This window comes from Homo sapiens, chromosome 17, assembly GCF_000001405.40.
Source record: "Homo sapiens chromosome 17, GRCh38.p14 Primary Assembly".
NCBI classification, from domain to species: Eukaryota; Metazoa; Chordata; class Mammalia; order Primates; family Hominidae; genus Homo; species Homo sapiens.
Genome location: NC_000017.11, coordinates 34,588,571 through 34,616,568, shown reverse-complemented (window position 1 = coordinate 34,616,568; position 27,998 = coordinate 34,588,571). Strand labels below are relative to the sequence as shown.

Here is a 27,998-nt window from a genome sequence, read left to right as displayed (position 1 = left end):
CGTATTCCCAACACTGAGTGCCTCTGGGTGACTGCAGCCTGGGCTGCGCTAGGAGCAGCAGGAGCCCCAGAGCAAGGACATGTAGCCGGGGAATACATAATCACTGACTCCATGCTGTGGCCACTCCCTCAGTGGGTGGGTGGGAGGAAGAGCCACTGAAGCCACCAGCAGCTAGCAGCCCCCAGATGGCTCTTGCCTACTCCCTGGCAGGTTGTAAATCCTGGAGAAGCAGCTTCCCAGTACTGTTATCCACCCCACCCCCATGCTTGGCTGGAACCCAATGTTGGAATAAAAGTCAGCTGTGGGGAGGGGCCAGCAGGAGGGGCGCCCCTCCTCCACTTTGCCCTGAATCCCCTCCCAGGAGACCTCCTGCCTGCTGACTCCCAGCAGCTCTGGTTTCCTGCCATCTGCCTGGGAACTCCCCATCTCTTAGCTGAAGGGATATCAGGGTCCCTCCCGTACACCTTACAGATGAGAAAAAAGGGTCACAAAGGTTTGGGTCAGGCTGGCTCTGTCATTTCTTAGCTGTGTGATCATGGGCAAGTGGCTTCACATCCCCCACCTCAGTTTCCTAAACTGTACAACGGAGTGAGAATAGCCCCTTTTTCACTGACTTGCTTTGCTAACAAAATGCCTATGTTATAAGATTACCTGTGAAATGTTTCAGCGGTGCCTGGCACACAGGCAGCCCTCTTTAAATGTTAGCTGTTCTCTGAGTGTTATTATCATCGTCATTAAATGGATCCCCCACACGGCCTCCTGAGTCAGGAGGCAGAGATCCTCCAAGACCCAGCGACCGACTCCCCTCTCTCCTATATGTGAACCCAATGCGAATCCTCTTGTGCTCTGACTGGGGCTCAACTTGCCTGCCGCTAAGGGTGGAGACCCTGCTGTTTTTTTTTAATCCCTGGCACCTAGCACAGAGTCTTACACATGGTCTGTGTGGAACAGAGGATTGTCGAGTGAATGAGTGAGTGAAGGAATGACTGGGATGGCCCTGGGAGGTGGTTGTGCTAACACACACACACACACACACACACACACACACACATCTGTGCCAGTCTTCCCCTTGCAGGCACCCTTGCTGTACCCCATCCTGGGACATCTATCCTAAACTGGCCACTCCTTTTGCTCCCTCTGCCTAAAACCAGACCAAGCCTGCTGCTCAGTGTGACTTCCTCATCTTTGAGAGTAAGGAAGGAAGGAAATCACAGAGACCTAGGCAGAGGAATCGGGGAGGGGGGTACTAAACTACAGATTGGTGAATGAAAGAATGAATCAAGCTCAGCTAACTTGGGGGCTAGGTCTGCTTCCTGAAAGCCTGAAGGAGGACGAGGGTACTAGAAGGACAGGTGGCCATGAGACCCCAAGAAGCTGCCACCAGGACAGCCCCTGAACTGGCCTCCTAGTCCTGCTCCTGGGGAAACCCAGGGAGGGAAGACTTGCTGAAAGCATACAGCAAGGTGGTATGAGAGACTTACTGAAAACCAGGGCTCTTGTTTCCCAGTTCCCTGCTAGTCTCAGGGGTACCTTCCTCTGGCCCCTGGAGCCTTGCCACCTATGGGGAAGCAATCCCAAGAGGAGGCCAAGGAAAGGTTCCCTGGTCCTGGGAGATCAGCTGGGCCATGGTCCCTCCCTTCCCCTCTAGACTCTGCTCCCATGGGATCCTGTAAGCTGCACATGGCACTGAGGGACAGAGCCTCGGGGCACATGATAGAGAAGGAGGGTGAGAAGGAGTAGTTCAGGATAGGGTGATGTGGACCTCTAGGGGCAGGGACTACAATATGTACAACTCAGGCTGGTGTCCCTGGGCTGGAGGGGTCCCAAGGCAAGAGGGGCTTGGAGTTTGGAGGCCCAGTTGTTGCATGGAGAGTCCAGGCAGAGGAGAGATATCAGATGTAGGGGACAGAAGCTCTGGCCCTTCCAAGTGCACAGTGACCCCAGGCCCTCTGTGGTACCTGCTCTGTGAGCCTGCCCTGCAAGTTGTAAGCCTGTGTCTGTTAGTCTGTCTGCATCTGTGATTTCAGGATCAGGACCAGAGACATCAACAGGCTTATGAAGACAAGAAAGGCTTTGTACTTCCAATCAAGCATCGCTTACCCCTGGGAACAGCTCTTTTATTTCTGAAACACTGGAGGGACCCCACCCTCACCCTTACCCCAGCAGCGACCTGCAGGGCAAACCCTTGGCCCTAGAGCTCAGTCTGCCTAGCTGTAATGGGCTTTGATGTGAGGTCCCTTTTGTGATGGAAAGGGCTGCGTGGGGGTCTCAGGGATGTAGGAATAGGGGTCAGGAGGTTTATTTGTCAGCAGGTCTGGAGTTGGCCAGCGGCTGTGCAGCTAGAGACAAAAAGACACTGTTGAAGAGCCTCTCTTTCCTAGTGGAAAAGATACTCCCTACCACCCGGCTGCCTGGTGCCCAATCCAGGCCACATGAAACAGAGGGCTACCTGCTCCAGCCAGCATGATGAGAGCCCTCACCTTCACCCCCCAGCACCCTAGCCTCCTGTGGGGCCCAATTTCTTGGATCTCAGGATGACCACGAGGGAAGGGGGGAACAAGGCAAGGAGGCCACACTGGTGTGCTTGTGGGAAGGGCCTTTTGGAGACAATGGCCTACCTTTGCCAGCCTAGTCCTCAGCCAAAAACAGTGGGTTGTGTTTGGGGGCGGGGAGTGTCAGGGAAGGCAGCAGCAAGGACAACCTCCTGAGGATCAGGCTCCAGGGAGAGGGTCTGGACTACCTCCTACAGTCACGCCAGAGAGGAGAACTGCCACCAACCCCCCAGGGCCTGGAGTGTAGGCTTGACCTGCTCTGCTGGGCTACCTACCCATGGAGGGCTGGGGGAGGGAGAGAGACCCCCGCAATAAGGCAAGGGTGCAGAAGCTAGGGAGAAGGGCTGAGAACAGGGGAGAGGGAGAGAAAGCTAGGGTTCAAAGGAAAGAGATAGGGGGAGGCGGAGAAAGAGGGGACAGAGAGGAAGGAAATAGGAGATAAGCCTGGAGAGAGAAAATAGAGAAAACCCTATCCTGGAGTCAGGGGAGGCAGTGGGGGGCTTAGGGACTGCTGGACGGACTAGTAGTGAGGTAGAGCCAGGGCCAACCGAGAAGGCCCAGGAGGGAACCTGAACAAACCTGCACAGCCCTGGCCTGGGAACCCAGCCAGCTAAGCAGGAGCAGCGGGGGAGGGGAGTGCGGGGGAGGGGGCTGCTCTCAGAGTTACACTAAATGACTAATGTGCATTATCCTAATTATAGCAGAGCAAGCTGAGCCTTCCCACTGGCACAGCCGCCTGCATCTCCTAATAAACAATTAGCCGCAAACAACGGAAAAAGAATGTAAGAACGCGCGCGCGCGCGCGTGTGTGTGTGTGTGGGTGTGTGTGTGTGTGTGTGTGTAGAGAGAGAGAGAGAGAGAGAGTGTGAGTGCCACCATAGGCCTGCAGTGGGTGGAGAAGGTTTTGGAGCTGGGCTTTGGGAGGGGAGGCTCTGGGGGAAGCTGGGGAACCACCTCACCCCTCCAGCCCATTCAGCCCTGGGCAAGGTAAGAGCTGCAACAAACAGCAGCCTTAGAGGTGCAGGGTGGGGGACATGGGGTCCCCCTAACATTTAGAGGCTGCCTCTGGAGTGCTAGGTACTGGCTGAGTGTCACCCCAACCTCACAATAACTCTGGGAAAACTGCATCTTTCCCACCCCACTGCCCCCCCCAGTGACGGAACCAAAGCTGAGAGAGGCTGAAAGGCTTCCCCAAAACACACAGCTGAGGTTAGGCCCCACCGGCCCTCCTGATTTCCCTGGTCCTGGGCTCACTTCATGGGAGCAGTGAGCCTGGAAGTTGGGGACCAGGTGTAGAGATCCCCTGAGCTATGATCCCAGACCTGAGCTGGAGGTGGGCTTGGTCATGAAGGTGGGACTTCCTCACTGCTCTGCCAGGCACTTGTGTGTGAATGATCTCTGATGTTTTGACGACATTCCTGAGACTTGGACCATATTCTGATGCCTGTTTTAACTGAGGCCTAGAAAAGGGAAGATATTTGTTCAAGATCCCAGAGGTTTAGTGGCAGAGAGTGGGCTTTGGAACTCACACTCCTACCTCTGAGTGGGGGCTCTGCCGGGGCTCCACAGTTGGGTCCCATAAGCCAAGGCCCCTGCTGGAAAAGCCAGGGCATTTCCAGTTGGGGAGGAGAGTGAAGCAACAGCAGAGCACATTCCAAGCCCCTCTGGGCACCTGCCCCTGGAGGAGGAGCCTGCTTTCCTCAGCCCCGAATTGACCACTTCCTTTCTGCGCTTTGAGTCTTAGCTTGGTTTCCCTGACTCAGTTACATGCTGTCTACTTTCCTAGTGTCTTCAGTGGCCTCCAACTCAGGGCCAGGTCACATGAAGCCTAGAGAATTGGGTGGCTGGGAAGGACAGCCCCCTTCCTGAGCTGGTCTCTAGGCAGCAGGTGTGTGTGCGTTGAGAGTAGGGCAAACTCTGGGGGTCTAGGGCACTGCCACCTGCCAGGGGTGACTTGGGCCTCAGTTCACCATCTGTGGAATAAGTAGGCTGATCAACTTGTCCTGGTTTGCCTGAGACTACTACAGGTTTAATAGTAGACCCTCGGTCCCAGGCCAACTGGGACAGTTAGTTACCCTCAGAATGAGGCTAACCTCCCTTCTCTGCCCCATAGGGTGGTGACAAGGCCCAGAAAAGAGACCTGCAATGTGTGCAGAGGTGACTGGGGACTGGGCCAGTTTCTTCTGTTGGGGGTGGAGGATGGAAGCCCCTGGAATCATCACCGTGAATTCAAGACACTTAGTCTTTGAACCTCAGCTTCCCTATCTACAAAATGGAGCTAACAAAACCTACCCATACATAATTGTTGTGGAGTGAATATGGGAATCCAGGCAGAGTGCTTCTCCTAGACCCTGGCTCGCACGTGACGTCCCCACTCTCCAGCTGCCTGGTCTTCCCCACAGGGCCCTCCCTGATGGGCTCTTTCCTGTTCTAACCACCCCTCCAAGCCTACGCCTTATTATACTTGGTTTCTCTTGGCACGATATTGATTGATTGACAGTTGTCTGGCTGCTGCTTCATCAGCACTTCTAACTCAGTGCTGGAAAGGGGCCTTCAAGACTGTAGTTCAAACCACTCATTTTCCAGAAAAGACTAAGGTCCAGAGAGGAGAAAAAGCCCACCCAAGGTCTCACAGCTCCCTCCTCTCCCATCTGCCATTCTGTCTCATTTTAGCTCATTTCTCATCTCTTAGGGCTGCTTACCTTCCTACTTCCCAATCCAACTTTTCCACAAGTGTTTCCTTTGTCCCACCCCTGCCTGCTCTTGAGTTCCCTTCTCCCACTCCCCAACCCACACCCCCAGGTCTGGGCATCTCCAGTCATACTCTTTCTGCCTCTGTGCCTTTGCACATGCTGTTCCCTCTGTCTGCTGTGTTGTTCCTCACACATTCCACCTGGTAGGTGTTGAGACAAGAATAAAAAATTCCAGGCAGCAGTTTCACATGACTAGAGGCTATGGGCTGATAAGACCCTGAAAAACAGGTTGTGAATCAAGTTGGCTAAGACCGACTGGACCCAATATGGCACTGGATTTGATCTAGGTTTCACCTAGGACCTCATTATCCACTCATTAACACACTAAATCACACATCCACCAGTGCCATGACAGTTCTGAGAACATCCATATTTGGTATAAAAATGAATAGCACCACAGTTCCAAGAAATCACGACTTTTTCAGGAGTTTTCATTAATATTCCACCCCTCAGTCAAAGAAATCCATAAAGGTAGCAGCCCCGACCCACTTGCATGATTCTCTTGAGTATGCTCCCGCTCCCTGTTCTTGAGTGTGTACTTTTCCCTTTGCAATAAATCTCTGTGATTTCACTGTTATTTGACTCATCCTTGAATTCATTCTCACAACAGTGTCAAGAGCCTCGACACCAGCTGCTTTGCACCGGTGTTTGGGGACCTCCCTCAGCCCACCAGTATCAGTGTCACATGTCCTTTTTCTCGCAGCATCACCTCCTCTTTGAAGCCTTCCTTGACCACTACACAAGGGTGGGTTAAGCAGGATTCTGGTCTGCTCACATCTGTCATTCTGTATTTTTTCTCTGCATTGCAACTGTCGGTTTGCATGTTTTACTTTCTCTTAGATGGAGGCCCTGCTTTGGGCAGAGACCGCGCCTTTCACCATGCAGCCTGACTGCCTAGTACAATACTAGATTTGTAACTGACACCCAGTAAAGATATTCAACAAATAAATATTTATTCAGCCCCTTCTCTGCACCAGACCCTGCTGGGAACTGCCAGGGAGACAGAGATAAAGAAGATAGTTTCTGCCCTTAAGGAATTTGCCGGCTAACAGGGAGATCAGACAAGTACATAAATAACCATGCTAAAAGGTAGGAAGTGCTGCTAGGCTTCGGAGAAGTGCAGAGCTCCCTGAGCATTCTGAGAGCCAGATGCCCACAAAAGAAAGGCTTTCAGGGGCAGGAGTCATTTGAGTAGTAAGATCTTGAAGAATGGGTAGAAACTCGAGGACTGATTGGGTGTGGTGGGACCTGGGTGGGTGGGGTCAGGGATGGAGGGAACAGAGTGGCAAGTGGGGTCCAGGGATTAAAGGCAGGTTTGGATTGAGTGGCATGGAAGAGGGAAAGCAAAGAGATGGGGCTGGACCGGCAGGTTAACACCAAGAGAACAAAGGGCTTTGAATGCTAAGCTAAGGAGTCTGTGGATTTTATCCCAGGGGTTTTGAAACTGTACTCCTTAGAGCCCTGGGGCTCTGCAGAGGAGTCCCAGGTCCCAGGGTCAGCTTTTATTGTCATGATTTTTCACATAGACTGTTGCAAAAATAATAGATCCTATACTTGTAAAAGTTTGCCCATCACGGCATGAGCAATAGGGAGCCTTTAGGGTTCTTGAGCAGGGGAATGAGACCACAAGGTGGTGCTTGTCTTTGTCTCCTCCACATCCACACATACCACACACACTTGGACAGCAGGGCAAAGGCAGGGGAGGCAGACAGAGCTGCCGTTCCATGGGGCTGGTGCATAGGGCGAGAGGCAAGTGCTGTAATTAAGTTCTCCAGCTTAAGTTATCTCAGCAATCTGTCAGGTCCTGGGGAGGAAAGAGCTCCCCTGCTCTGGTTCTGCTCAGGCATCCTGAGGTAAAGGGGCAGGTGCCACTCCCCTCACCTGATGACCTCATCTGCTCACAGTTGTGTTCCTCTTCCTCCCCACCTCTCCCCATCTCACTTCACTTCCGTCCATCTCATCCTTTTTCTCACATTCCACACCCTTCCTGAGGCCTTACCCAAGCTCTGCGAGGAAGGTTCAGGAAAGGCAGGGCAGCCGGAGGCTTCTCTTCCAGGCCACATGCAGAACTGGGCACAGACCTTCTTCAGACACCCCCCAGACTCCATACTCAAAACATGCTTTCCTCACATCTGCTTAATGTGATTCACCCCCATTTTACAAAATTCTGAAATCCCACCTTCTCCAGGAAGACTGTCCCGACTGCTGTAGAGCCAGGCTGGTTAAAAGGTTTTTCTCTCTCATGCCAAGGAATCTGAGATGGGAATGACTCAGGATCTGAGTCCAAACTCAGAGGAAGAAGAGAGCCATGACTGATTAAGGCTGTCTGCTGCGAGTGCTAGATGGGAAACAGGGGCCTCCATGTCATAGCTTTACTGTCCTTAGCCTTCTGACTACAATAATCAGACGGGGTATTCGGCTGGACATTTTTGAGGTTCCCTATGAGGCCACAAAAGAGCAGATGATATTGATATCTTCTTCAATGCTAAGGCCACCTGCTCCCCTGTCTCTGCGAAAAAGAGGTCTTATGTGGTTTGAATGGTCCACGGCTGCGTCTTGCTGCCAAGCCCCTCCATCCTGATTTCTGAGAGGAGGAGACAAGAAGGCAGATAACAGAGTCATATCCCCAACAGTTCTTTGCAGACTCCAACGTGGGGTAAGTGTACAGTCCCACTTGGAAGGACAAGGTTTTAGTTTCATGAGTACAGATATGCTAAGTGCTAATTCCATCCTGGGTTGCATAATGAACAATAATAACGGCCACAGCACCATTCACTGGGTTCTTGCATGTGCCGAGTGGTTTATGTATTCTACCTTCCATTCTCCCATGAGAATATGCATCCGTCTTCCCAACTGTATACAGGACACTGCAGCTTAGCCATGTGCAAGATCATCGCTAGTAGATGATGGATCTGGAACTCAAACTCAGGTCTGACTAGCACCAATGCATCTGCAGAGCGTCCTGGGGAAGTGTGACATTGTGACGTAATAAGAAATATATATTTGGTTTTCATCCCTGTTCCTGACACAGAGCTCCTAAAACCCTCAGAATTTCTGAGTGATAGGGGTGAGAACAGCACCTTTTGTTATTCATGATAAGCCCTTTTCAACTAAACCTGAGTTTATGCTAATGGAGTGACTCCAGGAGGTTGTAGCTGGTTGCCAGGGGAACCAGCTTGTGATTAGAAGGTTGAAACCTTCAGCCCCACTCCCTGACCTCCAAGGAGGGGACAAGAGCTGGAGACTGAGCCAATCAACAATGGCCAATGATCGAATCAATCACACCTACATAATGGAACCTTTATTGAAAACCTACCTAAACTACGGGGTTTGGAGGTCTCCCAGGTTGGTGAACAATATATCCGTGTGCTGGGAAAGTGGTACACCCCAACTTCAGGGGGACAGAAGCTCCTGCACTCGGGACCCTTTCAGACCTCACCCTATGTACCTCTCCATCTGATGATTCATTGTATCCTTAATAATAAACTGGTAATAGTTAAAAAAAAAAAAGATTTTCCTGAGTTCTTTGAGCCATAGCAGTAAATTATTGAACTTGAGGAAGGGGTCCTGGGAATCCCCGTCGTAGCCGAGTCAGACAGAAGTGTGGTACCTGGGCACTCAATACTTGCAACTGGCATCTGAAATGGGTAGCAGTCTTGTGGGACTGAGTCTTTAACCTGTGGAGTCTGTGTTAACTCCAGGCAGTTAATATCAGAACTAAATTGAATTGTGGACACCCATTTCATGCCCACAGAGAACTGGAGAGTTGCCTTGGTGTGAGGAATAAAATCCTGCACATTTGGTGTCTGAAATATTGTGAAAAGAGGAGCAGGATTTTCCTTTGGGAAGAGATTTGTTTGTTGCTGCAGGAAGAATAGGGGTCCTCCCCAAGTCAACCCTGGTTCCCCCATCCTTCTCTGCCTGAGCACGTGTCACCTGGCACCATGTTGCCATGTCTGTCTCCCCTGTGGTCTGTGGGCCCCTTGAGGAGGTGCACAGTGACCCTATCTCTGTATCCCCGGTCCGCAGCTTTTACATAGTAAGTTCTCCCTAAATAATGGTAGAGCTAAGATCAGTGCATAAAAGTTTGGGGAAGGCTGTCTTGGAACCAAAAATGGGTTAGTAATTTCTCAGGGTCAGAGCTGTAATGAAAGGAGCTGCCTTGTAGCGTACTGAGCTCCCTGTCCCAGGAAGGATCCCAGCCACCTGAAGCTGATTGATTCCCATCAGGGATGCCATGCAGAGCCTTCTGCACAAGCAGCTGGTTGGTCTGCATGATTTTCCAGCTGTGAGATTCTGGGAGGTTGCCATTCTTCGGAGCTGCTGCCTGCTGTGTGGAAGGCGGAGGAGGAAAGGAAGGAGGCCAGGAAAGGAGCAGAGAGAGAGCGAGTGAGTGGGGAGAGGAGGGCCCTTGTACTGTTTTACGGGCAGAGGAAGTGCAGCCAGGCAGGTCACACAGGGTTGGAGCTGGGAAAACTGAAACAGCCATGTCTCTCTGCTCATTAGTGGTGGTTCTGGGTTCAGGAATGGCACATCACTGCCCCAGCCCCGGGTGGCCCAGCTCCTCCAACTTGCCAGGGGACCTATGTAAGAACCATGGTCTGAGAATGAGACTGGGCTCATAGCTCCCTAAACAGCCCTCGTCCAGGGACTGGGCTTCCAGGAAGTCTGTGAGGGCGAAGGGGAGGTAGAGCTGTGGGGCAGAACAAATCCAGAGCTCTGAGCATGTGTGCATCTCCTAGTTCTGCCCAGCTCTTGCTTTGTGGTTTGGACAAGTCTCTTCCCCTCCCTGGGCCTCAGTTTCTATGCTTGTGAATTCTCAGGCCCTTTCCAGTTCTGACTTCTGGACTACTCTCTTCCTGTGTAGTAGACTGAACTATCAGTCTCAATCTTTTATTTTTGTTTATTTATTTTTTGAGATGGAGTTTCGCTCTTGTTGCCCAGGCTGGAGTGCAATGGTGCGATCTCGGCTCACTGCAGCCTCTGCCTCCTGGGTTCAAGCGATTCTCCTGCCTCAGCCTCTCAAGTAGCTGGGATTACAGGTGCTCACCACCATGCCTGGCTAATTTTTTTGTATTTTTAGTAGAGATGGGGTTTCACCAGGTTGGTCAGGCTGGTCTCGAACTCCTGACCTGAGGTGATCCACCCGCCTTGGCCTCCCAAAATGCTAGGATTACAGGCATGAGCCACTGCTCCCGGCCCAGACCCAGTTCTTCACATTGCTCTGGAATAGCATGACCCGGCCATACTCCTGCCATGGCTTTGTTGTAGGTGGAATCTACTTCTCCACCTCCTGATTTGAGGCTCAGTCATGGGACTTGGTTTAGTGGATGAGATTTTAATGAATGGGACGCATGTAGAGGTTGGAAACATGCTCGCACAATTGGGCCTTTTCGCCACGAGAAGAATACGTCTCAAGTAGCGTCGGTTCTAAAGAGGTGGAGAGAAGCATGAACAGACCAAGACCAAATCAGCAGCTGGGAGTCCAACCAGCTGAACCCAGCCTAAAGCAACCAAACCCCAGACATCTGGTCGACTCACGAGAAATAAACACTCACTGTTTCAAGCCATGGGATTTGGGGGTGGTTTGTTACGTGGCTTTATCGTGGCAATAGCGAATAAATCTTCTTTCCTAGATGCTTGGAATCCTGGTGCTGATGGTGGGGGGCTTTGAAGGATAACCTCAGCCCTTCCTCCGCCTGTAGGCAAAGCTATTGCTTAGGAGAGCCACAGGGCTCTTCCCTGTCTGTGTTCAGCCCAAGCAGGACAGCAGGGTGGGGTCAGGATGCTGTGATGCTGGGGGTACTTGGGGGAGGCTGGCTCAGTGGGGCCTGTTCTGGATGGTGAGGGAAGGCCTTCCATAGAAGCTAGCCTGGAAGGGGCCACTCCTCCTGGCTGACCCCACTCACTGAGGGAGGTGCTGAGTACACCTGACCACTTTATTCCAAAAGGAAATACCTTTCCGGGCCCAGCTTTGAAGCACCGCATGGTTCCGAAGCTGGGCTGAGCCTCACTTATTACACGATTCATGCTCTGAGGGCCCCAACAGCCCGTGCGACAGTAGGTGACAAGGGACCTGAATCCACTCACTTAGGACGTCATGGCTGATTACATAAGAAAATACAGGCAGCTCTTTAGGAAGTGGAGGACAGGCACATCCCTCTCAGTGCAGCCTACGAAATCACAGGCCCCATCCAGGATCACCCAGTGATTCTGGACAGCTTTGGAAGGTGGGTTACAGAAAGTAGAGGTCTCCAGCTTAAGTTTTGGGCTCAGATAAACCTGGCTTTGAATCCCAATCCAGCCTCTTTCCAGCTGTGTGACCTTGAGAAAGTTGTTTAACCTTGCTGAGCCTCAGCCACCTGTCCTTTAAAGTGCTGACAACAGTAACATCCAGCTCATGGGGCTGTCGTGAGGAGGAAATGCAAGTGCCTGGCACAGAAATGCTCAGAAATAAACATTAGCTGTTGCTATTAATAATAAATCATTCTCATTAGACTTTGGACTTCATCTTCCCTCAAAATGCATTCTTTCCCTTTCTTTGCTCCCTCAAGGACTTACTGTGTGCCAGGAGGGGCACAGAGAGGTCAAAGTTGGTTTCTGAGGGGGACAGACCCACAGAGAACTAGTGGAGATGCAGAGCTGGAAGCCTGCAGATGGTCATCTGAGTTGGGGGAGGGGGCAGAGGGTGCGCACATGTGTGGAGGGAGAGGATGAGACGCAGGTGATGACACAGGAGAACAGGCAAGGCAAGTTCAGATCACAGGGGCCTTGGATGCTGCCATGAGGAGCTGGAAGGATCTCATCCTCCACACAGACAATGGGAGATGGAAGCTATCAAATGTGGATGGATGCCGGTGACATGGTCAGATTTTCATTTTGGGAAGGGCTCTCTTGGCGGATGGTGTGCTGGGGAGACCAAGACTAGGGAGAGCGCTCAGAATGCAGCTGTCATGGTCCAGGGGAGAGATGTGGAGTCCCCAACAGGCAGTAGCAGCAAAGAAGGAGCGAACCCTTCCTAAGAAGCCATTCTGAAGAGCTCAGACTCTGCCTGCACTTGGTCCCAGCCCCACTGTTATCAGTGCTGTGTGACCTTGGACATGTTACTGCCTTCTCTGAGCCTGTGAAGTGAAGACAGTACAAGTACTGTTGTTGTGAGGATTAAACAAAGCCCTTAGAACAATGCCCAGCACTCAGGAAGAGGCTTACTTTTGCTGTTACTCTGAAGCAGCACAGTCCAAGGGGGCTCCAGGGCAGGAGGGAGTAGAGGGAGGGGTGCAGTTGTCCTGATGTGGCTTCTAGGTAGAGGGAGGGTGGCTCCATTGAGTGAGGGAGGGGGATGAAAGAAGGGACCAGGCCTGGTGGCGGAGGGGGCTGGTACCCACAGTGAGGAACTCATGGAATAGCCACAGGAGATGGTGGACGAGTGGTCAGCTGCAGCTGGGACAGTGAGTATGGCTGAGATGGCCAGGGATGGAGGCCCACAAGGGCATATCACTGAGGGTGGCAGGCACTGCAGAGGAGCCACCATGAGGCTGAGAAGGCAAGGCTTAGGGAGGGGAGGACAGGAACACCCAGGGGGAAGAGCTGGCCAGAGGAGGACCCTGCCACAGCCCACACAGGGAAGGAATGGCCTCTGAGGCTCCAGACCCAGGTCCACTCAGCATCGCTGCCTGACACCTCTGTGTCTTCTGCCTGCTGGATCCCTGTGCAGGAGCAGGCATGGCACACAGCCCCTCTTCCTGCAGTCCCTGGAATGGCATGGAGGTTTCTGAAGTATGACTAGGAAAACAGTGCTCAGTTGAGCCTGGGAGTCATACTCTAGCCTCTGTGGAACACGACTATACAGGGTGCTAGCTGTGGGGAGCCATCTCGCCTCAGTTTCCCCACCAGTAATAACAAGAGGGGGTTGAGCCAGCCCTTCCCTCAGGTTCCTTCTGGGGGTCCGAGGGTCTGTGTCTGTTACCCTCCAGGCTCCTGCCCTAGAGGCCCTAACATTGCAGTGGAGGAATCTGAGGTTACACACATCTGATACAGACACTGCCTTATCCCCCAGGAGGATGGCTACGAGGTCAGGGTCTCCTCTGTGCATCACTGTCTCGCAACCTGACCCCTGCCCATCCCACTTTCTGTCAGCCTAGATGCAGCCACGAAAAGGACTTAATGCAGGTGACTTAACACCAGAAGATGACCCCCTTCCTGTGTAAGACAGGCCTAGGCTGGGAGGACACAGCCTCTGTGCCTCCCTGGGAGGCAATGCCACCTCCTAGCCCCATGTAGCTGGCTCTAGTGTTTGACACCAGCATCTCCAGGAAGATCTTGGAGAGGCAACTGGCATCTCTCTTTGCAATGACAGTCCACTTACTTCCATCCCACGTGGACCTGCTTCCCCAGCTTCTGCCCTTGGCGCCAATGGTCCTGGCCACAGATGGGTTAAGGAAGCCATCTTGTGGAGTTTGAAAGGGAAACTCAGCTAATTCTCTCCTTCGTGGACACTAATCCTGCTGTGTACAGCTCCCGGGTTCTCTTCCCCAGAAACCACAGCTCCTTCCCTTTTGACCCCACTGCCCTGGGTGAAGCCCTCCCTCTGCCAGATTGACTCCATGGGGATGAAATTGGAGCTGCAGCCTCCTGCAGGGGATGCTGAAGCTCTGGGTCTTCCTGTCCTTGCCAGTCTCCAGTGTGACAACATGTCCCACCTGCTCTCACCTGTCAAGAATGGAGACAGAGAGGAAGCACTCCATCTTCTAAGCTAGAAGGGAGAAAAGCCTCCTCCTCCACCCTGGCCCCTGTCAGGCCAACTCTCCAAATGTGAGAGCTGCAGGGGCCTACTGCAGCCTTCCTCTTCAGCTCCTGGGATCCCAGAGATGGGTAAACTGAGGCCCAGAGAAGTGAAGGGGCCTCAGAATGGACAGAGCCTTGTGTCAGCCTTGTCTCTGACCTGTGCCCAATATGCTGCTGCCTCAATCTCTTGCGGGCTGGGCCAGCCCAGGGGGCAGTGGGACATGAGAGCCAGCTTAAAGCAGCACGATTGTTCATTTCAGACTCTGTCCTCTCCTAGACTGGGAGGCCATGCGGAGGCAGCTGTCTCTCTCTGGAGACAACATTTTTTGGTCCCTGCCTCCCCCATTTTTTGGGTACCAGATGGAGCCTAATGGGCTGAGGAAGTGGTTTTTAAATGGTGTTCCCTGGAACCCCTCAGGGGGCCATGGTAGCAGGACTCCCAAGGGGCCAGACCATGGACCCAGTGCCTTGTGGAGACTGGAGAGGAGCACTAGACTGTGAGTCCAAATGCTGGGGTCCCCCCTCTCCCACTAACTTGGAGTAGCACCCTCTCTAGAGGACCCCTAATTGCTCATCTGTGGAGTGAGATTAACCCTGAGGCATCGGCAGGGATGACAGCTGTGGAGGCCCTCGGGCAGGACAATGAGAGGGGTCACAAGGTTGAGGAAGGTACTCGGGCCTGGGGTTTTGGGGTGGGGAAGGGAGAGGTAGCCCTGTAGCCAGGAGACTGCCTCCTTCCTCTTCTCTTCCCTCTGAAGCCCCAGAGGGGCTGGAGCCATTACAGAGAAGAGACTTCAAGTCAACAAAGACAAATTGGCTTAATTGACCCAAATTAGCAGCAGGGAGGGCCCTGATGGCCCAGCTGCTGGTGCATTTAATCACTGTCACCCTGTGTGGTCAGGGACAGCCCCCTCCCACAAGGCCATCAGGTTCGTCTCCCTTGTGAATTGCCCCCTCTCTGGAGTCCTCCATCAGTACAAAGTAGGGCTGGGACTTTGGGGACAAAGACAGCCTCCAGCCAGAGGCCGGAGTTCCCTGCAGAGCTGACAGCCTGGCTTCAGTAGAGACAGCCCAGCCTGGGACAGGGCAGTCAGGGACTGGGGGATCTCCTCCAAGCCCCTCACTCTGAGTTCAATGGCTGCCCCAGGGAGAGGGAGGGATTCACTGGGAAAGGCTGACTGTAGTACCCCCACAAGATGCGGTCTGCCTCCTGGGCTTTCCAGAGGCTCACAGAAGGGCAGGCTCTTCCCAGGCCTCTGGACCCGCTCTGCTTCTCTCTCTTTCAGCTTTTTGTCTATTTCCTCATTAATGCTGGCATGGAGGGTGTTGGGGATGTGGCAAGAATCAAATTGAGATCTCCTGAAATCCTCCTGAAAACTGCACCCCCTGGGATTCTTGTTGGCTGTTGCTGCCCAAATTTCACACTGTGAGAAGGCAGGAAGGCCATTTGTCCAGCCCAATGGCCTCCTGGATTCTGCCTGCTCCCCAGTGGAGACCAGCCCTTCTTCTCTCCCAGAGCAAACATGGAGAGAGAGTGTGTGCCGTGAGCTGGCGAGGGCCTAGGGGCTTGAGGCTGCCAGTGACCTCCTGCTTCCATGACCTCATGGCCTCTGTCTCACAGCTCTGCCTCTGCAGGTGCATCCATCACTTTCCTGCTTGAAACCTTTGACCTGCTGGGGTTGCTCTTGCACACCTCGGAAAGGCCACGTGCAAGGTGCCCTGCTGCTCTGGGTACTTCACAGCTCCATCCTGGACTGCCAGTTCTGCCGGGGCCGCACTCCAACTCCTGGCCCTCCTGCCCTAGACCTGTCAGCCTTCTTTGGCTTCTCCTGGCTGCTTCTCTCCTTAGCAGTCACTCAGGCCCTCCTACCCCGACCTTGTTCTACTTTGCCATCTCCATAAATGCCCCACTGGGAATATCAATCCAGGTGCCCCATGGCAAACCTCAGGGCAGACTCCCAAGGGTGGATCCCCTGCTGGGTTCATTAAGAGCAGAACTCTCTTTCCCCACCCTGCCACACACACACACACACACACACACACACACACACACTCATATACGCTCAAACTTAACAAACGGGCTGCTTATCAAAAGTTCTTTAGAAATTAGCTATTAGAGCTTGGAAACACATTTCAATACTTTCCCACACAGGGACTATATTATCAGTAGCAGTTCAGTAGTAGTAGCAATTATCAGTAGTTACGTTTCCAGGTTAGCCCACCAAACAGAGTTTACCCATAATTCCTTCAGTCAATATTTATTGAGCATCTACTATGTGTCTAATGAGACTAAAGAGTGGTTCTAAGAGTATTATCTTGGATTCTGGGTCCTAGAACAGGGGACTAAGTGAACGAGAGGAAGAAAAGAAGATAGGAAGTGAATAAAGGTTCCCTTTCAAATCATTTAAAAATAGGACATACCTATCTTCCACACTTTTTCTATGTTCTTCTTCCTTCCTGGGGTCCTGTCCTCTGGCCCCAGGGCCTCCAAGCCCCCCTCCCCACCAGGGCCCCCAGCATCAGGGGATCTGCCCTAGGCCTGTCACGATGCTGGAGGGCCTTATAAAATGCAGGTCCCTGGGACCCTCCCAGCCATCCTAATTCAGAAGTTCTGGTCTAGGTGCTGAGAAGGTGATTCTGGCCCCCTCCCCACTCCCTCCACCACACTTGGGAAGCCTTGCTCTGACAGTGAGTGAGGCTCAGGCTTGATTTCCCATTAGAAGCACCTGGGATCCCTGGCTGTGCCCAGATTAGTGAATTCAGAATCTCTAGGGCTAGGACCCAGGTACTGGAATAAAAAAAATGATAATAATAAAAAATAAAAATAAAAAATAAAAAACTCTTCAATGTGCAGCCAAGATTGAGAAGCACTGCCTGAGTTCTAGTTTTCACAAAAGTGTTGCCTTTCCCTGCATCTGAATCCACCAAATTCATTACGAAATTAACACCTGCCCTGTCCCCCTACTCTCCCCTCCACCCACTGCTGGCAGAAGCAGTGGCATCAGCCATTCAGTTTGCAAGTGTCATCAATGAGGTTGGTATACCCTAAAAGCCCCAACACAAAGGCCACCATCAGATAAACCAGCCCTGAAGGTGAGGGCTGGATGCGCCCCATGATGGTGCAACTGCGCTTATGGCTAGACAGTGGGGGTTGAGCAGCATTAGCAGGTGCCCCGTGGTGGGGTGTTCCTTATGCAGGTTTCTAGAATGCATCCTAATCTGAGTCATTCATCTTCCATGCTCTGATTCTCCACATACCCTCTTGCTGTGGGGAACCCCCCACCTCAGTTTCTACTGAAGATGCCCACTCTGGACAGAACCAGGAACCTCACTCCCACCCATCTTGCAAGGTTTTGCCTAAGGTTTGCACTGCTCCAGTTGGGGCCCTCCCTCTCTGTTTCTCCTTGGGACCCCTGTCTATGCCTCAACAGTGCTAGTTATTTTCATCCGCCTGGACTCAGGTCAGCTCCTATGAGCAAGTGTCTGTAAGCTCTGGAAGTGTAAGTAAAGGTTAGCTGAATGAATATCTGAGGCTGGGGGCCAGGGTCTGCAGCAGCCAGGGGCTGGACTGGATCGCTCAGCATCTCTTCTGGCGGGACAATCAAGAGTGCTGTAGTTCAACACCTCCCCACCCCAGGGAAACCCAAAATTGCTAGGCCAGGGCCAGGTCCCAGCCTGGGTCTCAGAGGCTCCTGCTGAGAGCAGGCTCACATCCCCAAGTTGGTGGAAGGTAATTTCAACATTTGTAACAATTATTCACTTAATTGGGTTCCAATTACATCAGAGAGGAAGCAGAGGACTGTGTCTGTGTTTATTCTCCTCCTTCCACCTTCTGCACATCAAAGGGAGTGCAGGGAGGATGACAAAGGGGCTTTATCTCATCTGGAACAATCCCGCCTTCTGTCAGGGGTGGGCAGGGCTGTCCTGGGTAGGCCCCGCCTCTGCCTGCTGAGCTTCCCTGGGGCCTGCATTTCTAATCAGGGGCTGGACTTATTCCAGTCCTAGAGGGTGCTGGGTACCCAGCAAGAGCCAATCCTTCTCCTGGGCTTCACCCCCACCAGAAAGCAGAGTGGGGCCCCAGGTAATCAGGGGGCAGATAGGTGATGGGACTCTCTGATGGGACTGTCTCCCCCACTGTGCCATGTCTCCCTCACTGTCCCATCACCTGATGGGCTCAATAGCACCACCCAGACCCCTCTCCCCATGGCACAGTGGAAGTGGCCTTAGGAAGGGATTAAATTCACCAACAACTTGCCAGCTGGGCTCTCTGGGGGTGTCTCAAGGCCTTCCATGGGGTGACAGGGGAAGGTGGGACAGATGAGACCTTAGGGAGGTACCTCCACTCTCTCTTCAACCAGTAGTTCTGCTTTTACCAGTATCATATATGCATTATATATAATACATGTATTATATGTAATGTATATGACATATTGTAATGCATTATCTATTACATATATAATTTACTGGCTAAAAATGTTTTAGGAAATCATTGATTTAGTCCAATTCTGTCTCATCTCAAACAGGGAAACTGAGGCCTGGAGGGAGGGAAGGGACTTGCTCAAGGCCACACCATCACTTTAGGGGCTGAGCTGCTAGGATTGAGGTCTCTGGGCAGGATCTCAGCCCCCAGTGACCAGGAGATGGCAGATCTCCATGGGCAGGAAGTGTGGAGGAGAGCATGAGTGGAGGTTATGGATGGAAAGGTGGGCCAGGCCAGAGGCTCATGGGAAGCACCAGAGCTGGTGGGGCCCTCCTACCTTTGGCCTCTGCTTCCTGGCCCACACTGAAAAAAGGCTGTGGTCATGAAGATCATGATGGTGGCCAGGAGCTGAGGCTGGGTTCACCTCCATGGGGTGTCAGCCTTGGGCTGGATGCCCTGCCCCAAGAAGAATCATGCCTGGGGTCTCTGGCCACAGGACCTCCTCAAAGGGACCGCATCTGCAGAAGGACACATATCCAGTCAGTGTCTGGCACACAGTCGGTGTTCAGGAAACCTTTGCAGAATTGAATGAATGAATGAATAGTTGACTGAATCAATGAAAAAGATCCTAAGATCTTTTTCCTAGGAATCAGGACCTAGATTTCTAACCTGGGGTAAAATAAATGAGGCTCTATAAAGGAGCTGGATGCAGAACAAGGAAAGCTAGACTCAGAGGGGCTTCTGAGTGCCCCTGGAGCCCTGCCCCAAGGGAATCCCGTCTGTTGGGGCAGGCACAGCCTCTACTGGGGAAGCCCCTAGTCTGAGAAGGAAGCAGTCTTGGACTCCTCTGGAGGAGTCCCCAGACTGATGAGGGAAGTGCAGGTCTCCCCTGGGAAACTCCCCAGTCTGGTGGTGGTAGGGGAAGGGAAGGGGAGGATACTGCTGTCCTGAGGAGCTCCCTGTCTGATACGGTGGCTGCAGCCCTGACTTGGGCAGCCTCCTGCCTGAGGGAGGAGGCAGGGCTCAGGCTGAGGCATAGCTCCCCCTTCCTAGCTTTGGAGCAGAGGGGCTGCGTGTCTGGATGCTCGGTGGGATGGAGCTGGGAGGTGCAGCCAGGCAGGAGGAGAGCCATCGAGATTCCGGTCAGGCAGGCAGTCACTGAGTTATTATTATTTCTTTCTTCCTTTTTTTTTTTTTTTTTTTTTTGAGCTACTTAGAGCAATTTACAGAAATCATTTAGGGGCCATTTAGGGAGAAGAGAAAAGATGAAGACTTTTAAAGGCAAAGCCTAGGGATGGTTTTATGCTGATCAGCTTTGCAGAGATGTGGAGGAAAATCTGGATTCTGAGGAGGACCTGCAGGGTTCTGTCCCACACATCAGGGCTGGGAGACCCTTGGGAATAGCCAGGGACCAAGGAAAAGGAAGCAAATGATGGACCAAGGGCTAAGACACATGAGGAGAAAAGCAACTGCCAGGAATGAGTCAGCCATTCCCTGCCTCAGTTTCCCTTTTTTGTGACTGGGGCACCTGCATAGGTAAATTTGATGGCACTGGGACCAAGCTGAATGGGTGTGACACATCCTCTATGACACTAGGGGCTGGAGGCCTAGAGGATTAGGGCCCAGGGGGAGTAGAGGACACCGTCTCCTGAGCTAGAGTCCTGCTCTGCTAATTCTGTCTCTGTGACCTGGCAGTCCCTTCCATACTCTAAGCCTCAGTTTCCGCATCCACATAATGGGAATCATGATTGCCAATTTCATGGATGAGGCTTACATGGTGTAAGATGTTTAGCCATTTTTAAACTGCCAAGGGCTCCACACTCCTTGGTCATGGTGGGGAACAGTGGTGAACTGCAAGGAACAAGAACCTGATCTTCAAATACCAATTCCTCTTGCCACACCCCAGACAGGGGAAATCTCTCTTCTAAAGATGGCCTTCACTGGGCTGGAATCAGAGGCCTGCACTGGTTGCCTGGGGAATGCAAGTTGTGCGTGTGTGTGTGTGTGTGTGTGACAGAGAGACGTGAGAGGGAGAGAGGGGTTGGGGTCCGAGGGAGGGGAATGGAGGGAAAAATAAGAAAACCAGTCACACATTTAGCAAAGCCTTCCCCATAGTTCACATTTCATGCTGTTTGTGATGTGATTATTGGAGATGGAATCTGGTTACTCAATGTAAATACCAGGCCTACTGAGGCGCCTCCCCAAATACAGTCCCTGAAGAAGCCAGAGGTGAGGTTACCCACAGCTGTGACCAACCAACTTCCTTCAGCAATTGTTGGCGTTGCTGCCCCTGTCAATACCCTCATGTGAAACCAAAGAAGACACAAGAAGGAGACCACTGGCCTGGGAGTCAGGCACACGGGTCTTAACCCTGGCTTTATAACTCCTCCCCTCTCTGGACTTTGGTTTTCCCATCTTTAAAACAGAAATGGTTCCAGGTGAGAGGGGCCTGAATCTCCCTGCCAGCCCTTGTCCCATGTTTCTTTGACTTTAAGGATCACACCTCATTGTGAAGCCCTCTGTGCCACAGTCCAGAGAGGAATTCAGAGTACACACAGGCTCTCAGTGCAGGTCCACACACACTGATCTAGTGCCAGCTGTATGCAGGGCACCCTATAAGGAGGTCTTCCCATTGGCTGGTACCAATAATGAGGATAATCAGAGTATCTGTCCTGTTTATTGAGCATCCAGGCACATGCTGGTACTTTACATCCATCAGCTCATTGAATTCTTATGATCTAAGAGGTGGGCACTGTTCAGTATAGACCACCTTACAGGTAAGAAGACTGAAGTTTAGGGAACAAAAGTGACCCCTATCAGGTTGCTGTCAGAGCTGAGGTTCCCTAACTCCTAGGCTGTGCTCTGTTCACCACACTGCAGTGGCTGAATGGGCAAAGCTCTGGACGAAATGTTACTCCATGATGCTGCTGGAGCTCAACTCATCAGTTCACACAGATTTTGGCAGTGGTTCCTACAGAATGACAGGAAGCCATACCTGGCCCTTTCCAAAGTCCGGGTAGGCCAGTCCCTGCTCCTCCAGCACCCTGGCATCGATGACACTGCACTGAAATTATTTGCATCCTTGTCTCATATCAGCCAGCCACTGTGTCTTCATCTCTGCATGCCTGGTGTTTGTCACAGTGCTTGGTGTGCAGTAGGTGTTCAAAAACATGCTCACACCTGTAACCCCAGCATTTTGGGAAACTAAGGCGAGCGGACCACTTGAAGCCAGAAGCTCAAGACCAGCTTGGATAACATCATTAGAATTCCATCTCTAAAAATAAAACCTCAAGAAACCAATTAGCTGGGCATGGTGGCATGCACCTGTAGTCCCAGCTACTACTCAGGAGGCTGAGGCAGGAGGATCACTTGAGCCCAAGAGTTCGAGGCTGCAGTGAGCTATGATCATGCCAGAGCAAGACCCTGTCTCTAAAATACAAAACAAACAAACAAAAAAACATGTGCTGAATGAAACAATAGCGAGTGTCTATTTGAGCACTTCCTACAAGCCAGGCGCTGCTCCAAGCACTTTACATGCATTAACTCATTTATTCATTACAGCAACTCTATGAGAAAGGCACTCTTATTATCCCATTTTATAAACGTGGAAACGGAGCCACAGAGAATTTAAGCAATATTTCCAAGACCACACAGCTGGGATATGGCAGATGAATGTGTTAATGAGTGAATGAAGGAATACATTTTCTTTCTCTGGTTACTGCCAATCATGCCACCCAGTCTGTCTTGCTAGTGACTCCTTGGGTGGAAAGGGTGAGCAGTTGCGAAGGAGTAGGCTCCCAGGTTCATTCATTCATCCCGCAGATCATTATTGAGCATCTCCTCTGTGCCAGGCCCCAGGGGTTGGGGATACAGCAGTGAACAAAACAGAGATGGCCTCTGCTCTCAAGGGCTTCCATTCCAATGGAACACATAACCATGTCATATGTCAGGTGAAGGGAAACAGAGCAGGGTCAGGGGACAGAGTGAAAGTGCACAGGGCTGCTTTAGATAGAGGGGGACCAGGGAGGGACCTGAAAGAGGTAGGAGGTAAGAGGCGGGAATCGTGTTTATTCGAGGGGCAGCAAGGGCCAGCCAAGTCCTTGAGGCTCTGTGCCTGGCATGTCAGGGACAGAAAAGAAGCCAGCGTGACCGGAGACGAGCAGGTGAAGGGGAAGATTGGGTCAAAGAAGTAGTGTCGGGAAAAGGGACAGATCATGCTGGTGGTATGAGCTACTGTGAGGACTTTGGCTCTCACTCTCAGTGAGGTGGTTCTGAGAAGAAGGGTGATGATTTGACTTGTGGTTTGCAGGATCTCCTGGCAGAGCAGAAGGGAAAGTGGCCTTAGGAGGCAGCTGGAAGCTGCCTACCCCGGCCCTAGAAGCTGCTGCCTCTGAATGGATGGGAGTCATCATCGTCAGCACAAATCATGCCAGAGCTGAGGAAGGGCTGAGCAGGCACTGAGCTGGGCAGGGGATTTCCAAGAAGGACAGCAGGAGGTGAGTGGGCTCAGCTTATCAGTCCCAGAGCACTGACTCTGGGGCCCTGAAAATACCTCCAATAGGAGAACTGGGTATGGATAAGCCCGTGGGCAGCATCCAGCCCTGTACTGTCCTGTTGGGTGGCCACTCACCACATGTGGCTGTGGAGCAACTGAAATGTGGCTAGTTGGCATGAAGATATGCTGCTGGCAAGGCAGAACGCACAGGGGATTTTGAAGATTTAATACAAAAGAAAAGAACAAAGTATCTCATTCATAATCTTTTATACTGATTACACGTTTTTATTTTTGATTGTTTCAATATAATTTTTTTTTAATGTAGAGATGGAGTTTTATTTTGTTGCTCAGGGTGGTCTCGAACTCCTGGTCTCAAGGGATTCTCTGGCCTCAGCTTCCCAAAGTGCTAGGATTACAGATATGAGCCACCAGGCCTGGCCCTGATTACATGTTGAAATGACAATTGTTTGGGCATATTGGTTAAAACATACTATTAAAATTAATTCCACCTGTTTCTTTTCACTTTTTCTCATGTGATAAATAGACAAGATTAAGTGAGATACGTGGCTGCTGTTATATTTCTATTGGACAGTGCCGATGCTGCTCAGCAACCTCTATTTCAAAGACAAGAAAACAAAATTCCACTGGGAGGAAGGGTTTATCACAGGGCTTGCAGTTGGCTGAGAGAACAGTGGTGGAAAGAGCAACACCAGAGGTGGGAATGTGGGGAGGTGGGGGACCCTCTGGGTGGGTCTGGTTTGTCTGAGGTGACTCCTAAGTGTTCCTTGATGCCAATGATACCATTATGAAATAATGATTATGGCAACCATTTACTGAGTGAGCACTGACAGTGTCAGGCGGAGTGCATAACTGCAGTGGCCCCATCCTCAACAACCCTGCAAGATGAGTAGGTTTTTCTTCTTATTGTTTGCACATAAAGAAACTGAAACGAAAGAGTAATATGCGTATGGTTACCTGGCCATCCTGCTAGGAGTGGATGAGGAGGCTCCTGCTCCAGGATCTTCAGGGTTCAAGCCTGTATCTCTCCCCATACACCTTCAGGCTGCAGATTAGGGAGGCCTGTGTTCCTTGTCAGAAACTCCCTATAACCCTAGACCTGCTATCTGGCAATGGCAGTGCTGTCCTGGCAGTGTGTAGACAGACTTTATACCCACCATGGGGAGGAAGCAAATTTCAGGAAGCAGTGGGCTTGCCAGCTGGGTGCAACTTTGGCATTGTGATGGGGGCCGGCTGCTGGACGCAGGAATGCCTCCTCCACCCCGGTTGGGCTGCAGAAGCACTGGGAACATGGGGCAATGCCTGTGACTGCTTTCCTGGGAAGGAAAGTGGGGAGGGAGGAAGGGTGGGGGCCAGCAGCTGGCCACTGCTGTTTTTAAAACAAGCAGCATGTTGCTAAGAGGCATCAAGGGTTAAAAAACAAAAATCCCAAGCAAAACAAAAAACCCAACCACCAGAAAACAGCTCTCCGGGAAGTCTTTGGCACTGTCTTAAACATGCTTCCCAGCAGTAAGGCCTGGCTCTAGGCAAGAAAGGATGGAAAGACACCAGTTTACCGAGCCCCTCCAGCAGGCACGTAGCATTTGTTCTGGATACTTCCAAACACACCGTGGGATCTCATTCATGCGGCAGCCCAGCCTGAGAGAGGATATTACTCCCAGTGCAGACAGGGGAGGAGAGGCTCAGGGAGATGTCAGCAAGTGCTCCAGGGTCACTCAGCTACACTGCAGCAGGGCAGGCAGCCCACACCATTTCAACCTACATTTGTGTGACTTGAAGACCCACCATGATTCTCTGACATGACTGGTTCCTAAGACCTTCCTGGGGCCCAAATGCTGACAGTGACACCTGTGTGGATCCGCTCCTTCAGCTGCTGGCTGACTGTTGGATGAGGAATGAGGAGGTAGGCTGGTTCTCCATTAAAAATAGTGAGGAAGCCTGGATGTGGTGGCTCATGCCTATAATCCCAACACTTTGGGAGGCCAAGGCCAGAGAATCACTTGAGGCTAGAAGTTCGAGGCCAGACTGGGCAACAATGTATTTGCAAGACCCCAGGGAGAGAAAAACTTAAAAGTTAGCCAGGTATGATGGCATGTGCCTGTAGTCCCAGCTACTTGGGGATGTGGAGGTGGGAGGATTGTTTGAGCCCAGGAAGTTGAGTCTGCAGCCAGCTGTGATCATACTACTACACTCCAGCCTGGGTGACAGAGCAAGACTTTGTCTTTCAAAAAAAAAAAAATAGTGAGGGAGATCCCATCTCTCTCTAGGTTCTCCTACTTGGCCATATTCTTCAGAACTCCTGACTGGACCGTAAGGATGCTCCTGTACACCAAGGGGTCAGAACTGGCTGTGAAGTCACAGGCATGTCCCTTCTGCTCTCCAGGAGTTGGCTGCTAAAATAATAAAGACACTTCCACGTACTGAGCCCTCGTGCTGTGGGCTCCTCACCTTCAATTTGCCATCCAGTCTTACAGAGGTGGAAACCAAGGAGTGGAAACCTAAGTCAGGCTGCTGGTAAGCGGCAGAGTCAGCACTCACACTCAGATGTATCCCTCTGGTTCTAACGGTGAGCTCTTTGTCATGGGGTGGCGCCTCAGATGACTTCTGGTGCTCATTTCCCATCCCAAGGCCCCCACTCCCAGATCAGATGCTGCCAACACTTGCTTCAGCATTGATCCAATCTGCCAATTGTTCCCTGATCAAGTAATTATTGAGAACCCTGCTTTGATGATGTCACTCCCTCACTCCATAACTCTCTACACCTCCCCAGCACTTCATGGAACATTGGGCCAAAGTCTTTAAAGATCACCCAGGTAAAGAGTTACCAATTACATACCCTGAATTTAGCATTGTATCTTGCTATTTCTTCACAGGCATTTTGGCTCTCTCCCACCAAGACTCTGAGAGTTCGCTGGCCAGTGACCATTTTTGCCCTGTGTTTTTATCTTATCCAGGGTATCAGACAAACAGTAGATGCTGGCTGATTAGTCTTCAGAAGCAGAATTCTTGAACTTAGTCAAGGGCTCCTAAAGTGGCACTTCTTCCATGAAGCCTCCCCAGATCCCTCTAACAGTTATGACATTTCTCCCTCTTCCTCCACAATGCTCTGTATCCTTTGCAACATGTCAATGACTCCGCATTTTATTACAATCTGTGCAGATGTGGAAGTGAGGACAGCAGACAGGTTGGTTTTAGAGCTGAGTGTAGGGAAAGGGTGAGAGTGGAGGAGGAAAGCTATGAGTGTCGGGACCAAGCCAAGAGAATAGAGTCCATAGCCAGCTCCGGGGGGGAGGATTCCTGGTGTCCAGCACAGGATGTGGCTCATAGCAGGTGCTCATTTCATAAGTGACCATTGAAATAACTAGCTAGTTCAATAACTGCTCAGACACAGGTGTGTGGTCAGTGGTGGCTGGAGGTGGGGGCGAACTTCCCAGGCAGGAGGGCTGGCAATGCCCCAGGATGGAGCCCAGCCCTCTGCACCATGCCAGTACCCTTGCCTCTCACCCCACCACCTCCCACAGCATTTCAGACCTCTCATGCATGGGGCTGGCTGATGGCAGTTTTTATCCTGCCGAGTACAGCCATAGAAAATTGAGATCATTTCTCTGCTGTGTTGGCAGCTGAGAAAATGGCCATTTTTCCTATTTCCAATCCAATAGTTCCTTGCTTTTGGAAAAAAGACCCCATAAGCCAGCCTCTCTCCAGTAGAGACAGGGCAGGGGACAATGTGGTCATCCTGGGGCAGGTCACCTCCTTGGCTAGGAGGGTGGGCTGCAGCCGTCATGCGGTGGCAGGGCTCCGGTTGTGGGTGGAGGGACTACCAACTAAGGCATTTGCAGACATAGAACGGCAACAGGCAGTAAGGTCAGAGCAACAGGTAACCCAGGGCCTTTGCGGGGTGCTCAGGGACTCAGAAGAAGTTGACTTTGCAGTCCCTGAACACAAGGACCCCCACACCTGCCACTATTGCACTCCCCAAATCAGAGTGGTGTAAGATCAGACAGGCCAAACAAGTGCATGTAATCCCTGCCCCTGAACTGATTTTTTGTAAAGGCAGGTAATTAGTAAGAAAATCCAAATCTGTGAAATACACTGAAGGTTGCTTAGCATCCCATATGCCCTGGGCAGATGAGAACAGCCGGCATGTGGCCTCCATCATGACAGCTCCCTATTTCCCTCAGCCTGCCAGTCACTGTGACTACAAGGGCGCCCCTGGCCCTTTCCCCTCCCTCCTGGTCCGTCCAGGTGCTCTGCCCCGCTGGCCTCCTTGCTGTTCTTTGAATGGTCAAGCCCACTCCTCCTAGGGCTCTTATCCTGACTGGTCCCTCCACCCCGAAGGCTCTCAGATATTCACTTAGTTTCTCTCTTACCTCCTTAACGTCTTTGCCAAAGGACATTCTATCAACTGATCATTGGTATTAATGCTACGCATCCCTCCCCTGACATACACACCCACCTCAGATTTCCCAATTCCCCTCACCCTGCTTCCCTGCCTTTAAAATAAATAGCACTTGCCTGTAATCCCAGCACTTTGGGAGGCCAAGGTGGGTGGATCACCTGAAGTCAGGAGTTCGAGACCAGCCTGGCCAACATGGTGAAACCCCATCTCTACCAAAAACACAAAAATTAGCCAGGTGTGGTGGTGCACACCTGCAGTCTCAGCTACTCGGGAGGCTGAGGCAGGAGAATCACTTGAACCCAGGAGACAGTGGTTGCAGTGAGCCGAGATGGCACCACTGCACTCCAGCCTGGGTGACAACCAGGGTGACAGAGTGAGACTCCGTCTCAGAAAAACAACAGCAAAACAACAAAAACCACTCGTTGCCTTTGAACATATATAATTCACTTATTCAATGAATTTATTATTTACTGTCTGCCTTCCCCACCCACAATATACATAAGAATGTATATTGTGCATCCCTCCTCTGACAAACATACCCACCATGAATGCAGGGATTTTTGTTGTGTGCGCTGAC

The 27,998-nt window shown here is 51.7% G+C and overlaps 1 protein-coding gene across 1 annotated transcript in view, besides 5 other annotated features; it reads right to left on the bottom strand.

Annotated features, from left to right (window-relative positions):
- TMEM132E (transmembrane protein 132E) overlaps positions 1-27,998 on the bottom strand; it is a 59,737-nt gene that overhangs the window by 22,750 nt on the left and 8,989 nt on the right. The gene's annotated exons all lie outside the window — the stretch shown is intronic.
- Positions 15-615: an enhancer, noted in NCBI's record as "H3K4me1 hESC enhancer chr17:32942973-32943573 (GRCh37/hg19 assembly coordinates)". NCBI's record gives its function as "activates a minimal SCP1, AML or CMV promoter by ChIP-STARR-seq in primed H9 embryonic stem cells {active_cell/tissue: H9 hESC(primed)}" and the evidence as "EXISTENCE:reporter gene assay evidence [ECO:0000049][PMID:30033119]".
- Positions 3,276-3,854: an enhancer, noted in NCBI's record as "H3K4me1 hESC enhancer chr17:32939734-32940312 (GRCh37/hg19 assembly coordinates)". NCBI's record gives its function as "activates a minimal SCP1, AML or CMV promoter by ChIP-STARR-seq in naive H9 embryonic stem cells {active_cell/tissue: H9 hESC(naive)}" and the evidence as "EXISTENCE:reporter gene assay evidence [ECO:0000049][PMID:30033119]".
- Positions 14,639-15,427: an enhancer, noted in NCBI's record as "H3K4me1 hESC enhancer chr17:32928161-32928949 (GRCh37/hg19 assembly coordinates)". NCBI's record gives its function as "activates a minimal SCP1, AML or CMV promoter by ChIP-STARR-seq in naive H9 embryonic stem cells {active_cell/tissue: H9 hESC(naive)}" and the evidence as "EXISTENCE:reporter gene assay evidence [ECO:0000049][PMID:30033119]".
- Positions 18,381-19,200: an enhancer, noted in NCBI's record as "H3K4me1 hESC enhancer chr17:32924388-32925207 (GRCh37/hg19 assembly coordinates)". NCBI's record gives its function as "activates a minimal SCP1, AML or CMV promoter by ChIP-STARR-seq in naive H9 embryonic stem cells {active_cell/tissue: H9 hESC(naive)}" and the evidence as "EXISTENCE:reporter gene assay evidence [ECO:0000049][PMID:30033119]".
- Positions 24,284-24,784: an enhancer, noted in NCBI's record as "H3K4me1 hESC enhancer chr17:32918804-32919304 (GRCh37/hg19 assembly coordinates)". NCBI's record gives its function as "activates a minimal SCP1, AML or CMV promoter by ChIP-STARR-seq in naive H9 embryonic stem cells {active_cell/tissue: H9 hESC(naive)}" and the evidence as "EXISTENCE:reporter gene assay evidence [ECO:0000049][PMID:30033119]".